At 43.0% G+C, this 15,936-nt stretch overlaps 1 long non-coding RNA gene across 1 annotated transcript in view; it reads right to left on the bottom strand.

The window, feature by feature from the left end:
• Window positions 1-2,719: 2,719 nt before the first annotated feature.
• LINC00620 (long intergenic non-protein coding RNA 620) overlaps window positions 2,720-15,936 on the bottom strand; it is a 95,915-nt gene continuing 82,698 nt past the window's right edge. Inside the window, exons 5-6 of the long non-coding RNA NR_027103.1 lie at window positions 13,527-13,719; window positions 2,720-3,111 (exon numbers count right to left, since the gene is read on the bottom strand). This is a non-coding gene — a long non-coding RNA (long intergenic non-protein coding RNA 620). The remainder of the gene's footprint in view (window positions 3,112-13,526; window positions 13,720-15,936) is intronic.

The following is a 15,936-nucleotide window of genomic DNA, read 5'->3' as shown; positions in this document are numbered from 1 at the left end:
CCTGAGAAAGGAGCATCGAACCAGGACCTGAAGGAGGTGAGGGAGCAAGCATCTGGAGAAGAGGCACCACCGGAGGAGGGAGCAGCCCGTGCAAAGGCCCTGAGGTGAGGATGAGAGGGCACGTGCTCAGGAAATAGGACGCCGTGGGCCTGAGGCAGAGTGAGCCAGGGGAAGTAGATAGAGAGGGTCAGGCCAGATGATGTGGGCCTGCAGCCTGAGGGAGGGTTTTGTCTCTGCCTCCGAGGAAGGTGGGAGCCATGGAGGGTGTGGAGCAGAGGAGGAAGGTGCCGTGACTTCCAGTTTAGCTGCATGCATTCTGGCTGCATCAGGAAAAGGGATCATAGGAGGGTGGTGGGAGCACAGGAGGGTGAATTGAGAGGCTGTGGCAACGATCCAGGCAGGGGCTGGGGGCTTGGACCAGAAGATAACCAGGAGTGGGGCAGAGAAGTTCCTCATCCCACCTCTTAGGGAGGCTTCTCCAGACTTGTCCCCACCCCCACCCCTCCCTGCACCCCGGCCCAGGCAGTGTTCACTCAGAAAGCCCTGCCAGCCACCCCCAGGAAAGGCCCAGGCTAGCGGAAAGAGACGTTCAGAGACCGCCAACCCTACAATTACCTGTAAGATGGATTCTTCTCCCTGACAGGGCGCGGGAGCGACCGAGCCTGTTATTACAAAGCCTAATTACAGCGTCTCGGGCTGCAGTGCTCATTGCAAGAGAAATACCAGCGGCCTGCAAAGCGGGGCAAATTGTTCCCTCCTCCCTCTTTTTTTTTGTCAGAGTATTCAATCGGCAGAAATAATTACACATCTTCTCCCCCAAGGGGCTCGGAGACAGGCTTTGCTCTTCTCCCAGGGCTGGAAATTCAGCTCCCTGAATCTGGAATTACCAGCAGGCAGCTTGGATGCTCACATAGAGGGTGGGTGGCCCTAGGCGAGGCTGTTCTCCCTGGGCCTCTATTTCCTGGGTCCCAAGGTCCATATCTTAGTCTCAGAGCTACCTCTGCCTGCCAGGAGCCTCCAGCTTATTTACTGTCCAGAGCGCCTGTTCATGCCTGAGCACACGACTTCATGAATGGGAGCCTCAGTTTCCTCATGGGTTAGATGGTTAGATGGCACCCAGCATAAGGAGTGGCAGACAAATGAGCACAGGCAGGTAAAGCCTTGGCCATGTGCTGCTGCAGAGTGGGCGCTGATACCTGGTGCTTCATAGGTCAGAGCCTCTTTTGAGAGGTGAAGGAGGTTCTGTATGTTGAGCACCTACTACATGCCTCACACCCAATGTCCAGCAAGTATTTGTTGAATGACCCAATGACAGCTCACGACCAACCTAGAAAAGGGAGAGTTATGGTTCCTATTGTACTGATGAGAAAACTGAGTCCCAGAGAGGGCAGGCGCTTCCCCCAGGGTCACGGTTACGTGGTGTGTGTGTGTGTCTGTGTGCCTGTGTGTCTGTGTGTGTATCTGTGTGCATCTGTGTGCATGTGTCTCTGTCTGTGTCTGTGTGTGTGTCCATGTGCATCTGTGTGTCTGCATCTGGTTGCACCTGTGTGTGTGTGTGTGTGCATGTGTGTGCATCTGTGTGCTTCCATGGATGTGTCTCTGTGTGTGCGTGACTGTGTCTGTGTGTGTTGGTATCTGTGTGTCTGTCTGTGTGTCTCTCTGTGTGGTCACCAGCACCTGGTGGTCTCTGGAAAGCGGAGCCAGCCCCCTAGCCATGAGTCTTTCAGAACCAGCCTCCTGCTGTGGGTCTTTAAGAACTTGCCCCCTCTTCTTTGGGCCTGGGTTCCCCAAGTTTCCCAAAATATGCCATTAGATGGGACCAGAACACTAAGTAATGTGAGCCTGCCTGATGAGAAGGTCCATGATCTCCTCCTCCCGCTGACTGCTGCATAGGGAAGGTCTCGGTTGCTGCCAGCCTGTCTCTAGTGCCCTCCAATGTCCGCCCACCACCTTTATTAGCCAAGGGAATGGACCTCAGGCTTGGCATCCTGAGACACATGCTCGCCAGCATTCGTCACCACTCCTTAGAAATCACTGGGTTCATTGTTCAGTGTGTTCATCACACACTGCCTTGCATGCATGGTGTGTGATGCTGGGTTTGGGGTTGTTGTTGTTGAAGGCAGTTTATCAAGTTTCCATTTGCTTAAGTGGAAAAACGTGAGTGTGCTTGAAGTAAGATGAGCCCAAAGACAAGTCTCCCGAGGATATGGCAAAAATAGGAAGGGGCAGGGCAGCTCCAGAACAACTCAGGAGCATCTGAACCAACCAGAAGCCCTCTCGTATGGGTTCCCAAAGACTCTGAGCACTGAAATTCTATGAACCCCTGAGCTGAAACCTGGTCCATTCCATCTCTGCCATTGAATCGCTGCCACTCTTTGAAGCACCGTCCCCTCTCTTGGCCTCAGTTTCCTCATCTGTAGAGGGGAAAGGACTGTCCACTGTAGCTGCCCCTTACCGGCCTTTTCAGACCCCAGGCCAGGGCCCCAGGCTGGACAGCTCTGGGCCTGGGTCCTCTGCCAGGTGCCACAGCTGAGTGAGATGTCAGTGCTCAATGGCTCCATTTAGGCTGATGGGCTAATGAGGGGGCATCTGACAGCCCCGAAGACCTGACATGTCTATTTTCAGGAAATGAAACATCTGGTTCCCAGCCCTGTTCTTCTCCTCTGCACCATCTGCCCAGCTTCAGCAAGGCCCAGTAGTGTCTGTGCCTGACAGATTGCCCTTCTGATATCTTTATTATTGCTTTGAAAAGACACCATGCGGGCTCCTGACCCACCATCCTTTCCTGGAGAAATGCTCCCCCCAGGGTGTTCCGATGTCAGCCAGGTTAAGGATGTGACACCACCGGCAGTTCCTGGCCAGAAGTTCCCCCTGTCACTCCGACATCTCCATAAATAATGCCCAGCCTCTCTGAGAAGTCCAGCTCAGGACTGGGATTGCAGATGCTTGCACGACACGCTGCCAGTTCCACGTTTCCTGCCAGAAGTCAGCTCCTTCCACGAGTTTTGGGAAATAAGGATTTCCAAAAAACAGTCAATAAGTAAATTCAAGTACCATGGGTTGCACACATCCTTGAGGCCTCACGTTGAACTCAAAACTTGCCCACTTTTCCTGCAAAGAGAAATGAGTGTGAGCCGTCATGCATTCACTCACTCCACCATTCATTCATTCATTTCCAAAGCATGTCCATAGGACACACTTTGACCCTGCTTGTTTAAGAAATAAATGGCATGGAAATGAAAAGCAGGAGGAGCACATGTTATAAGGGACACTTAAGAGACTTATCAACCAAAAGCACTATGTGGATCTTACGGGGATCCTGATTTGAATAAATTGAGTGTGAAAAAACACCCTTGAGAGGACCATGGGTGGCTGAACATGGACTAAGCTAGAAGATAGCAAGGAATTATTGTCAATTTTTTTGGATGCCATGAGAGTTTTGTGGTTACTTTTTTTTTTTAAATCCTTATCTGTAAAGTCCAGGATTTCCTTAAAAACATTCCAGCCCCTCCCCCTAGGCGCACGCACGCGCGTGCACACACACACACACACACAACTAAGGACTTTGGGATGAAATGAGAGCAGCAGAATGGGACAACAACGGCTGCTGCTGGGGCAGAGGTGCGGGAGAGTTCGCGTCTGTATAATGATTATGCTGGGCCCTCCAATTCTCAGCTGTTTCTTAATGTCAATAATAATCATAATAAGTTAAAAGGAATGTCAGCCTGCAATGTTGGAAGACTCATTCTGCTGGGTGTGAAAATTAACTGGCACCCAGTAGGTGCTTATTAAGGATAATTCCCTCATCCCTTTTCATGTAATCATCCCCACAACCTTTGTGGTGAGCAGCTGAGTCTTGGAGACATGCAGTGATGGTCACGGGACCAGAACTGAGGCTACCTGGTATCTGAATCTTAGGGGGCCCAAGGCACTCCCCATGTTCCCATGGAAGTCAGCCTTGAGCCTGCCTGCAGGAGGTCAGAATTCCATATGAATATAAGTAATAGAGCACATAATACAATATATCATTCTATATCATCATCACATATAATTTATTATATCATATAATTATAATTACCTACATGTTATATAACATATTGTATTATATGTCATATTACTGTATTACACTATATTACAGTGTTATAACATATAAATATAACAAGGGATGTATTGTCTGTAATATTAGAATGAATATGACATGCAATGTGTTATATTTTATTTTTCTGTAATACCCCTGGGGAGATATGTACATGATTTTAAATTGCAGCTGGTCCTCCCAGCACTTTCTCCCCCTCTCTGTTTTATTTCTAACATAGAGGAGCTGTTTTATCATAGAGGATATTAAATGACAGTATATAATGGAGTTATTTATTGTGTTTGCCAAAGCTTCAGGAAATTCAGTCAGTTTTGATTCACTCCCAGCACATCATAGGCCACCAATAAAGCTTTCTGGGCAATTAGACACAGCCTGGGTTTACACACATGTGAATCCCTGGTTCTCAGCAGGGGGCAGGCCCAAATGCCCCCTCCTCTTGCCCCCACCCAGGAGCTTTACATCAAGGTGCTCTAAGATCACAGGCACTAATCACTGACTCATTTATTCATTCCCTCTCTACCTCCCTTATTCACTTACCCATTCCCTCTGCATTTGTTAGCATGGGTATTAGCTCTGCACCAGTCCCAGTGCAATGTGAAGGATAGACAGGTCCCCAAGGGATATGGTTTTGCTGTGTCCCCACCCAAATCTCATCTCAAATTGTAGCTCCCACAATTCCCAGGTGTTGTAGGAGGGACCCAGTGGGAGGTAATTGAATCATGGGAGTGGGTCATTCCCATGCTGTTCTCGTGACAGTGAATAAGTCTCACAAGATCTGATGGTTCTATAAGGGGGAGTTTCCCTCACAAGCTCTCTCTTTTCCTGCTGCCATCCATGTAAGACATGACTTGCTCCTCCTTGCCTTCTGCCGTGATTGTAAGGCCTACCCAGCCATGCAGAACTGTAAGTCCATTAAACCTCTTTCCTGTATAAATGACCCAGTCTCACAGGTATGTTTTTATTAGCAGCATGAAAACAGACTAATACACTGAGCCTGTGGGGTTTCCTTTTATAAAGGAAGAGGCAAACCAGAAACAAATACTTATGTAATTTAAATAATTGCAGATGGGGATTTGAGAAATAAAAAAGAGGAAGTAGCAGACATTGCTGTGATGGAGAATGAAGGAGATCCACCTTAGACTGGGTAGTCAGGAGCAGATAACATTCGAGGCGAGAGCTGTGAGGAACTGGGTAAAGAGCACCCCAGGCAAGAGAAGAGCGGGTGCAAAGGCCCTGAGGCTGGACCAAGCCCAGCTGTGCAAGGATTAAAGACAGGCTAGAGCCAAGCTCAGGGAGGTGGAGGGGCTGGCAAGATGGGCAATGGGGTAGCTGGCCTTGAGGGAAACAACCAGGATGCTTGTCCTGCGCCTCATTTAAAAAAAGATTACCTTCCTGAATGCTTGTGCACTGTTAGTGGGAATGTAAATTAGTTCAGCCCCTATGGAAAGCAGTTTGGAAGTTTCTCAAAGAACTGAAAATAGAACTACCATTAGACCCAGCAATCCCATGACTAGGCATATACACAAAGGAAAATAACTTGTTCTACCAAAATGACACTTACACTGGTATGTTTATCATAGCACTATTCACAATAGTAAAGGCATGGAATCAACCCAGGTGCCCATCAACGGTGGAATGAATAAAGAAATGTGGTACATATACACCATGGAATACAACACAGCCATAAAAAGGAATAAAATCCTGGCCTTTGCAGCAACATGGATGCAGCTGGAGGCCATTATCCTAAGTGAATTAACACAGAAATAGAAAACCAAATATAATACATTCTCACTCGTAAGTGGGAGCTAAACACTGGGAACACATGGGCAAAAAGATGACAATAGTAGACAGCAGGGACTCCAAAAGGAGGAGGGAGAGGGCAAGGGCTGAAAAACTTCCTATTGGGTACAGTGTTCACTATCTGAGTGAAGGGATCAATAGAAGCCCAAACCTCAGCATCATGTAATATATAACAAACCTGCACATGTACCCCCTAAATCTAAAATTAAAATTAAAAATAATTCCTTTCCCTTTGATGGGAAATGAGTTTCGCACAGCAATGAGTTGAGTGCTAAGGTGATACAAATGGCATTTGTGCTCTCAAGAGGCAGCCTGGGGGAGCTTCTCACCAATCAGATGGAATTGTTTCTGCCAGGAAGACATAGAACCTCATAGGCCTTCAAAGGAATCCAGTTCCCTGTCTCTCATACCGCATTAAATGCCCAAATTCCCCTCTGCACTTCCTCCAGCACCCAAACCCTGCTCCCCACCTGCCATGGTAAAGTGCTTCCTCCCACCTGGGAAACCCTCCCTGGACAGCTCCAGGGGGAGGAATCTTTCTCACACTAAATTGGAAGCTGCTCCTTTTGGTTCCCTCCCTGCCAAGTCTGCTGGTGTTGGCTCTGTCCTATGGTCTCCCACCCCTGGTGCTGCCCCTGCCTCACCTTAACTCATACTAACTGGCCCATGGGAGGTACCAGTTCAAAAAGCAAACTGTATATGTGGATTGCATTAACAAAGATCTGATGCGCAGAAGTGAACAGGAAGTTGGCGAGTCCAGCTTCCAGTCATCTGGACACCCAGAAGCTCTCAATCTGTGAAACTGCATTGAGGTGATGCCAAATTCTAGTGTCCACTAGGATACCGGTAGAAGCAAACACAAATATTCTCTGAAAGAGAATACCTACAATCCTAGGCCTCGAGTTATTTTGGCAAACAATTTAGCATATAAAATATCTACCAAATAGCTAAACATATCTAAGCAAATGAAGAGACAAGACAACATGAATGAAACCAGCAGTCAACAGACGATAGAAATAGACACACAGAGGTTCTGGATATTGAGATGATCAGGAAAAGTCTTTACAATTACTATGTTTATAAGTCCCAGGAGACAACAGAAAAGATTGATAATTTCAGCAGAGAATTGAAAACTATATTTTAAAAAATGAATGGCAGATTTGAGCTAAATATAAATAAATTCCCCAATTTCAAAATATAAACACTGAAATTAAAAAACACAATGGATGGGTTAACAGTGGATTAGACACAGCTAAAGAGAGAATTAAGTTAGATGATAGATTAAAAAGAAAATGTCTTAAATGAAGCACAATGAGATAAAACTGTGAGAGGAAAACAAATGAGGGAATAAAAGACAGAGAGAACACAGTAAAAGGTCTAAATACATTTCATTGGAATCCAGTAGAAGCTATGAGATAGAGGGGCAATAAATGATGATAAAATGGCTGAGAATTGTCCAAAGGTGATGAAAAAAATCCATCTATAGATTCAAAAATTCCAACAAATCCCAAGCACAATTTTTCAAAGCCTACACAAATATTTCAAAATAAAACTGCCGAAAACTGAAGACTAAGAGAAAGTCTTAAAAACAGGCAGAAGTACCCAAAAATTACCTTTAAAAAGTAACAATTAGAATGAGTGCTAGCTTTTCCACAAGAAATACAAAAGACAGAGGACAATAGAATGATAATACCAATGTGCCAAAGAAAATAACTACCAACCCAAGAACTTTATAACCAGAGAAAATATCTTTCAAGAACAAAGATGAATAAAGGCAAGTTCGGATACATTTTAAATTACAGAATTGTCACTAGCAGACATGAATAAAGGAAACACTAATAGGTTTTCTTCAGGCAAAAAGGAAATAATTTCAGATGTAATTTCATCAGTTCAATTTTTTAAATGAAGGGTAGTAATAAAAATAATATGCTGTGGTGGGAATGCATAAGACTTCCAGCTATGGTTGTGTGAGGATGTGAGCAAACACTCTGCTCGAAGAGCTGGATAAAACCGACAGACCAACCATTTAGGCATGCTGAACACGGGCCATATACATACAGCCATTTGAGAGCTGTCATGCTTGAAAACTTACTGATATTCAACTAGTAACAGGGTAAGACTGTGACTATAGTGCCTAGGGCTGTTCCCAATCCCCCCATCCAGTTGACACAGAGGGTTCTCTAGGGTATGAGAACCAGAAATGAGGCTGCCATGGTTAAAGGTGGCTCATTCAATGTGGAGCAGTGTGTGATGGCTACTTGGTGAAAGTGATAATCTCAGAATGGGGAAACAGGCGGGCCAATAGCTCTACTATTCTGAGTTGTCGTTGTGACTGGGGCAAAGAGAGTCCCAGCAGCATGTGTGAAATAAAGAATGGAGAAGGCTATGCACACATGTTGGCCAACCCTGAGTCTATGCACAGTTGTCTAAGAGACATGACAGTGCCCAGAAGAAAGTGAAAACCACAGCAGACTTGAAAACATCCTGAACTTTGAATGCACTCTTTCCCCCACACACATACATCAGCAGAAGACAAAAGCCATACTGGCTCAAAGTGTGTGAGCGCAACCTCTGCACGATCATTTTAAGCTACCCAGACACAGGGATGACCCCTAGGAAATCAGGCTTAAGAGTAAAAACAAGAATAAAAAACTGGACAGAGACATCAGCGGCCACACTGTGTAAGGGAGACAGATTTCACACTTTTAACTAGGCAATTTACTAAATAAACAAGCAGACAAACAGAGTGTCAACAACTGTCAGAGTGAACAAATCAGAATCCAGAGTTACTACAATATTTTATCTAAAATGTCTAATTTTCAACAAAACTATGAGACATGAAAAGAAACAGTAAAATGTGACCCATACTCAGGAAAAAGACTCTCACTAGAAACTATTGCTGATGGTTCCTGGATGTTCGACTTAGCAGAAAAATACTTCAAATACACTATATGTTCAAATAACTAAAGAAACCATATTTAAAGAACTAAAGGAAAGTATAACCACAACAAATCAACAAAAAGAGATCACTGATTAGGAGATATGAGTTATAAAAAAAGAACCAAAATGAAATTCTGGAGCTGTTTATTTAGTAACTTGCCTGGTTAAAAGTGTGATATCTGTCTCCCTTACACAGTGTGCCTTCTGATGTCTCTGTCCAGTTTTTTATTCTTGTTTTTACTCTTAAGCCTGATTTCCTATGTCTGGGTAGCTTATTGCACTCTTGTGAGATAACTGAAATGAAAAAACATCATTAGAAGGGTTCAACAGCATATTTGAGATAGAAGAAATAATTCTTAAACTTGAAGAAAGATCAGTAGAAATTATTCAATCTGAAAAACTAAGAGTTAAAGAGACTGAAAATCATAAAGAGAGCCCCAGAGACCTGTCAGACAATATGAAGCACACAAATATATGCATAAAGGGAGTCCCAAAAATACACAGAGAGAGAGAAAGAGGCAGAAAGAATTTTTTAATATATTAATATATTGGCCAAAACTTCCTAAATTTAATTTAAACATTTTTAATTACACATCCAAGAAGCTCAACAAACCCCAAGCTGAAAATATACAAAGACATATGCACATAGGTACACCACAGTAAAACTGTTGAAAGCTAAGGAGAAAGTGAAAATCTTAACAGCAGCAAGAGAAAATAGACTCATGTATAGGGGAGCAAGAGTAAAATTAATTTTCCTGACTTCTCACTAGAAACAATAGACACCATAAGGCAGTGCGATACCACATTCCAAGTGATGACAGGAAAAGACCATCAACCAAAATTACTGTACCCAAAAAAACTATCCTCCAAACATTAATGCAAAATAAAAACATTCCCAGAAAAACAAAAACTGACAGAATCTATTGCTGACTGGCTTACCTTAGAAGAAGTTCTCTAAGAAGTCTACCAAACTAAAAAGAAATGACTTCAGAGAGTTACTAAAATCTGCAGAAAGAAATGAAAAACACCAGAAACGGTAAATAAAGGCATACATAAAAGATATTGCAGGTTTAATTCCAGACCACTGCAATAAAGCAAATATCACAATAAAGGAAATCACACAAACTTTTTGGTTTTCCAGTGCATATAAAAGTTATGTTTAATTATACCTTTATACCGTAGTCTATTAAGTGTGCAATAGCATTATGTCTACAAATGTACATACCTTAATTTAAAAATACTTTTATTGCTAAAAGATGCTTTAAAAAAACCATCTGAGTTTTCAGCAAGTCATAATCTTTTTGCTGGTGGAGGATCTTACCTCAATATGATGGCTATTGACTGATCAGGGTGTTGGTTGCTAAAGGAAGGGTGGTTGTGACAATTTCTGAAAATAAGACAACAGTGAAGCTTGCTGCATTGATTGACTCTTTCACTAAAGATTTCTCTGTACCACGTGGTGCTGTTTGATAGCATTTTACCCACAGTAGAAATTCTTTCAAAATTGGAGTTAATCTTTTTAAGCCCCGCTGCTGCCTTAATCAACCAAGTTTATGTATTAGTCTAAATCCTTTGTTGCCATTTCAACAATGTTCACAGCATCTTCAAATGGAGTAGATTCCATTTTAAGAAACCACTTTATTTTACCACCATAAGAAGCAACTTCTCATCAGTTAAAATTGTATTATGGGATTGTGGCAGTTCAGTCACATCCTCAGGCTCCACTTCTCATTCTAGTTCTCTTGCTGTTTCCACCACAACTGCAGTGACTTCCTCTACTGAAGTCTTGAACCGCTCAAAGCTATCTATCAAGATTGGAATCAGCTTCTTCCAAACTTCTGTTAATGTTGACATTTTGACCTCCTCCCATGAATCATGAATGTTCTTAATGGCATCTAGAATGGTGAATTCTTTCCAGAAAGTTTTCAACTTACTTTGCCCAGATCCATCAGAGGAATCACTATCTATATCAGCTATAGCTTTATGAAATGTATTTCTTAATTAAGAAGACTTGAAAATCAAAATTACTTCTTGATCCATGGGCTGCAAAATGGATGTATTAGCAGGCATAAAAACAATATTAATCTACTTATACAACTGTATCAGAGCTCTTGAACAACCAAGTGCATTGTCAATAAACAGTAATATTTTGAAAGGAATATTTTTTGCTGAGCAGTAGGTCTCAACAGTGGGCTTAAAATATTCAGTAAGCCATGCTGTAACAAATGTGCTGTCATCCAGGCTTCGTGGTTCCATTTCTAGAGCACAGGCAGAGTAAATTTAGCCTAATTAATAACATAATTAGTAAGAGCCCTAGGATTTTTGGAATGGTAAGTGAACACTGGCTTCAACTTAAAGTCACCAACTTCATTAGCCTCTCACAAGAGAGTCAGCCTGTGCTTTGATGCTTTGAAGCCAGGCATTGACTTCTCTCTAGCTGTGAAAGTCCTAGATGGCATTTTCTACCAGTAGAAGTATGTTTTATCTCCATTGAAAATCTGTTGTTTAGTGTAGCTACCTCTATCAATTACCATAGCTGGATCTTCTCAATAACTTGCTGCAGCTTCTACATCAGCACTTGCTGCTTCACCTTGCACTTCTGCTATGAAGATGGTTTCTTTCCTCAAACCTTGTGAGCCAATCCCTGCTAGATTCAAACTTTCCTTCTTCAGCTTCCTTACCTCTCTCAGCCTTCATAGAATTGAAGAGCATTAGGGCCTTTCTCTGGATTAAGCTTTGGCTTAAGGAAGTGTTGTGGCTGGTTTGATCTTCTATCCAGACCACTCAAGCCTTCTCCATATCAGCGGTAAGGCTGCTTCACTTTTTTATCATGTATGTTTGCTGGAGCAGCACTTCTACTTTCCTCCGAGAAGTTTTCCTTTGCATTCACAACTTGCCTAACTGGTGTAAGAGACCTTGCTTTTGGCTTATCTTGGCTTTCAACATACTTTCCTCACTAAGCTTAATCATTTCTAGTTTTTGATTTAAAGAGAAAGATGTACAACTCTTCCTTTCACTTGAACACTCTCAGGCCATTGTAGGGTTATTAATTAGTGTAACTTTAATATTGTTGTGTCTCAGGGAATAGGGAGGCCAGAAGAGAGAGAGAAACACAGAATGGGTGGTTGGGGGCGCAGTCAGAACACACGTATTTATCGATTAAATTCACTGTATTATATAAGCACAGTTTGTGGCACTCCAAAACAATTACAATAGTAACATCAAAGATCACTGATTGCAGTCACCATAACAGATAAAATAATGAAAAACTTTGAAATAGTGTGAGAATTACCAAAATTTGACACAGAGACATGAAGTAAACACAGGCTGCTGGAAAAATGGTGCCAATAGACTTGCTCAACACAGGGTTGCCACTAACCTCCAATTTGTCAAAAAACACAGTATCTCCAAAGTGCAATAAAACAAGGTATACCTGCACATTAATTAATATAAAAGACTATAAATATATATTTCTCATTTCTTTAACGTCTTTAAAATACATAGTATTGCATAAAGCAATAATTGCAACACTGTATTGTTTGCTTTATAACATATATGAATATAATAGGTTTTGAAATATTAGCACAAAGGAGAGATATGAAAATAGAGCTATGCTGGAACAAAGAGTTTATATTTTACCAGTATTAATAATTTGAAGTAGACAGGAGATTTCTGCTGGCAAGACAGCTGAATAGGACCAGCTCCGGTCTGCATCTCCCAGTGAGATCAACGCAGAAGGTGGGTGATTTCTCCATTTCCAACTGAGTTACCTGGTTCATCTCATTGGAACTGGTTAGACAGTGGGTACAGCCCATGGAGGGCAAGCCGAAGCAGGTTGGGGTATCACCTCACCAGGGAAGCACCAAGGGTTCAGGGAACTTCCTCCTCTAGCCAAGGGAAGTGGTAAAGGACTGTACCATGAGGAACAGGGCACTCTGGCCCAGATACTATGCTTTTCCCACGGTCTTCATAACCCTCAGACCAGGAGATTCGCTCCGGTGCCTACACCACCAGGGCCCTGGGTTTCAAGCACAAAACTGGGCAGCCATTTGGGCAGACACCAAGCTAGCTGCAAGAGTTTTTTTTTTTTTTTTCATACCCCAGTGGTGCCTGGAACACCAGTGAGACAGAACCGTTCACTCCCCTGGAAAGGGGGCTGAAGCCAGGGAGCCAAGTGGTCTAGCTCAGCAGATCCCACCCCTACAGAGCCCAGCAAGCTAAGATCCACTAGCTTGAAATTCTCACTGCCAGCACAGCAGTCTGAGGTCGACCTGGGATGCTTGAGCTTGGTGTGAGGAGGGGCATCCACCATTACTGAGGCTTGAGTAGGTGGTTTTACCCTCACAGTGTAAACAAAGCCGCTGGGAGGTTCCAAATGGGCAGAGCCCTCCACAGCTCAGCAAAGCTGCTGTAGCCAGACTGCCTCTCTAGATTCCTCCTCTCTGTGCAGGGCATCTCTGAAAAAAAGTCAGCAGCCCCAGTCAGATAAAACCCCCATGTCCCTGAGACAGAGCACCTGGGGGAAACGACACCTGTGGGTGCAGCTTCAGCAGACTTAAACATCCCTGCCGGACAGCTCTGAAGAAAGCAGCAGATCTCCCAGCACAGCATTCAAGCTCTGCTAAGGGTCAGACTGCCTCCTCAAGTGCATCCCTGACCCCCATGTCTCCCAGCAGGGACCAACACACACCTTATACAGAAGAGCTCCAGCTGGCATCTGGTGGGTGCCTCCCTGGGACAAAGCTTCCAAAGGAAGGAACAGGCAGCAATCTTTGCTGTTCTGCAGCCTCGGCTGGTGATACCCAGGCAAACAAGGTCTGGAGTGGACCTCCAGAAAACTCCAGCAGACTTGCAGCAGAGGGGCCTGACTGTTAGAAGGAAAACTAACAAACAGAAAGGAACAGCATCAATATCAACAAAAAGGATGTCCACTCAGAGACCCCACCCAAAGGTCACCAACATCAAAGACCAAAGGTAGATAAATCCACAAAGATGAGGAGAAACCACCACGAAAAGGCTGAAAATTCCAAAAACCAGAATGCCTCTTCTCCTCCAAAGGATCACAACTCCTTGCCAGCAATGGAACAAAACTGGATGGAGAATGAGTTTGACGAATTGACAGAAGTAGGCTTCAGAAGGTGGGTAATAACAAACTCCTCCAAACTAAAGGAGCATGTTCTACCCAATGCAAGGAAGCTAAGAACCTTGAAAAAATATTAGAGGAATTGCTAACCAGAAAACCACTTTAGAGAAGAACATAAATGACCTGATGAAGCTGAAAAACACAGCATGAGAACTTTGGGAAACATACACAAGTATCAATAGCTGAATCAATCAAGCTGAAGAAAGGATATCAGAGACTGAAGATCAACTTAATGAAATAAAGTGAGAAGACAAGATTAGAGAAAAAAGAATGAAAAGGAACAAACAAAGCCTCCAAGAAATATGGGACTATGTGAAAAGACCAAATCTACGTCTGATTGGTGTACCTGAAAGTGACAGGGAGAATGGAACCAAGTTGGAAAACACTCTTCAGGATATTATCCAGAAGAACTTGCCCAACCCAGCAAGACAGCCCAACATTCAAATTCAGTAAATACAGAGACCACCATAAAGATACTCCTTGAGAAGAGCAACCCCAAGACACACAATCATCAGATTCACCAAGGTTGAAATGAAGGAAAAAATGTTAAGGGCAGCCAGAGAGAAAGGTCAGCTTACCCACAAAGGGAAGCCCATCAGACTAACAGTGGATCTCTCATAAGAAACCCTGCAAGCCAGAAGAGAGTGGGGGCCAATATTCAACATTCTTAAAGAAAAGAATTTTCAACCCAGAATTTTATATCCAGCCAAACTAAGCTTCATAAGTGAAGGAGAAATAAAATCCTTTACAGACAAGCAAATGCTGAGAAATTTTGTCACCACCAGGCCTGCCTTACAAGAGCTCCTAAAGGAAGCACTAAACATGGAAAGGAACAACTGGGACCAGCCACTGCAAAAACATACCAAATTGTAAAGACCATTGACACTATGAAGAAACTGCATCAACTAAAAGGCAAAATAACCAGCTAGCATCATAATAACAAAATCAAATTCACACAAAACAATATTAACCTTAAATGTAAACGGGCTAAGTGCCCCAATTAAAAGACACAGACTGGCAAATTGGATAGAGTCAAGACCCATCAGTGTGCTGTATTCAGGAGACCCATCTCACTTGCAAAGACACACAAAGGCTCAAAATAAAGGGATGGAGGAAGATGTACCAAGCAAATTGAAAGCAAAAAAAAAGCAAGGGTTGCAATCCTAGCTCTCTGATAAAACAGACTTTAAACCAACAAAGATCAAAAGAGACAAAGAAGGGCATTACATAATGGTAAAGGGATCAATGCAACAAGAAGAGCTAACTATCCTAAATATAGATGCATCCAATACAGGAGCACCCAGATTCAAAAAGCAAGTTTGTAGAGACCTACAAAGAGACTTAGACTCCCACACAACAGTAGTTGGAGATTTTAACACCCCACTGTCAATATTAGACAGATTAACAAGACAGAAAATTAACAAGGATATTCAGAACTTGTACTTGGCTCTGGGCCAAGCAGATCTAATAGACATCTAGAGAACTCTCCACCCCAAATCAACAGAATATACATTCTTCTCAGGACCATATCGCACTTATTCTAAACTTGACCACATAATTGGAAGTATAACACTCCTCAGCAAATGCAAAAGAATGGAAATCATAACAAACAGTCTCTCAGACCACAGTGCAATTAAATTGGAACTCAGGATTAAGAAACTCACTCGAAACCGCACAACTATATGGAAACTGAACAGCCTGCTACTGAATGACTACTGGGTAAATAACAAAATTAAGGCAGTAATAAATAAGTTCTTTGAAACCAATGAGAAAAAAGACACAACGTCCCAGAATCTCTGGGACACATTTAAAGCAGTGTTTGAGGGAAATTTATAGCACTAAATGCCCACGAGAGAAAGCAGGAAAGATCGTATATCAACACCCTAACATCACAATGAAAAGAACTAGAGAAGCAAGACCAAACAAATTCAAAAGCTAGCAGAAGACAAGAAATAAC

This window comes from Homo sapiens, chromosome 3, assembly GCF_000001405.40.
Source record: "Homo sapiens chromosome 3, GRCh38.p14 Primary Assembly".
In the NCBI taxonomy this organism is placed as follows: domain Eukaryota; kingdom Metazoa; phylum Chordata; class Mammalia; order Primates; family Hominidae; genus Homo; species Homo sapiens.
Note: the sequence above shows the minus strand (reverse complement) of the source record. Positions and strands in the feature narration are given on the sequence as shown.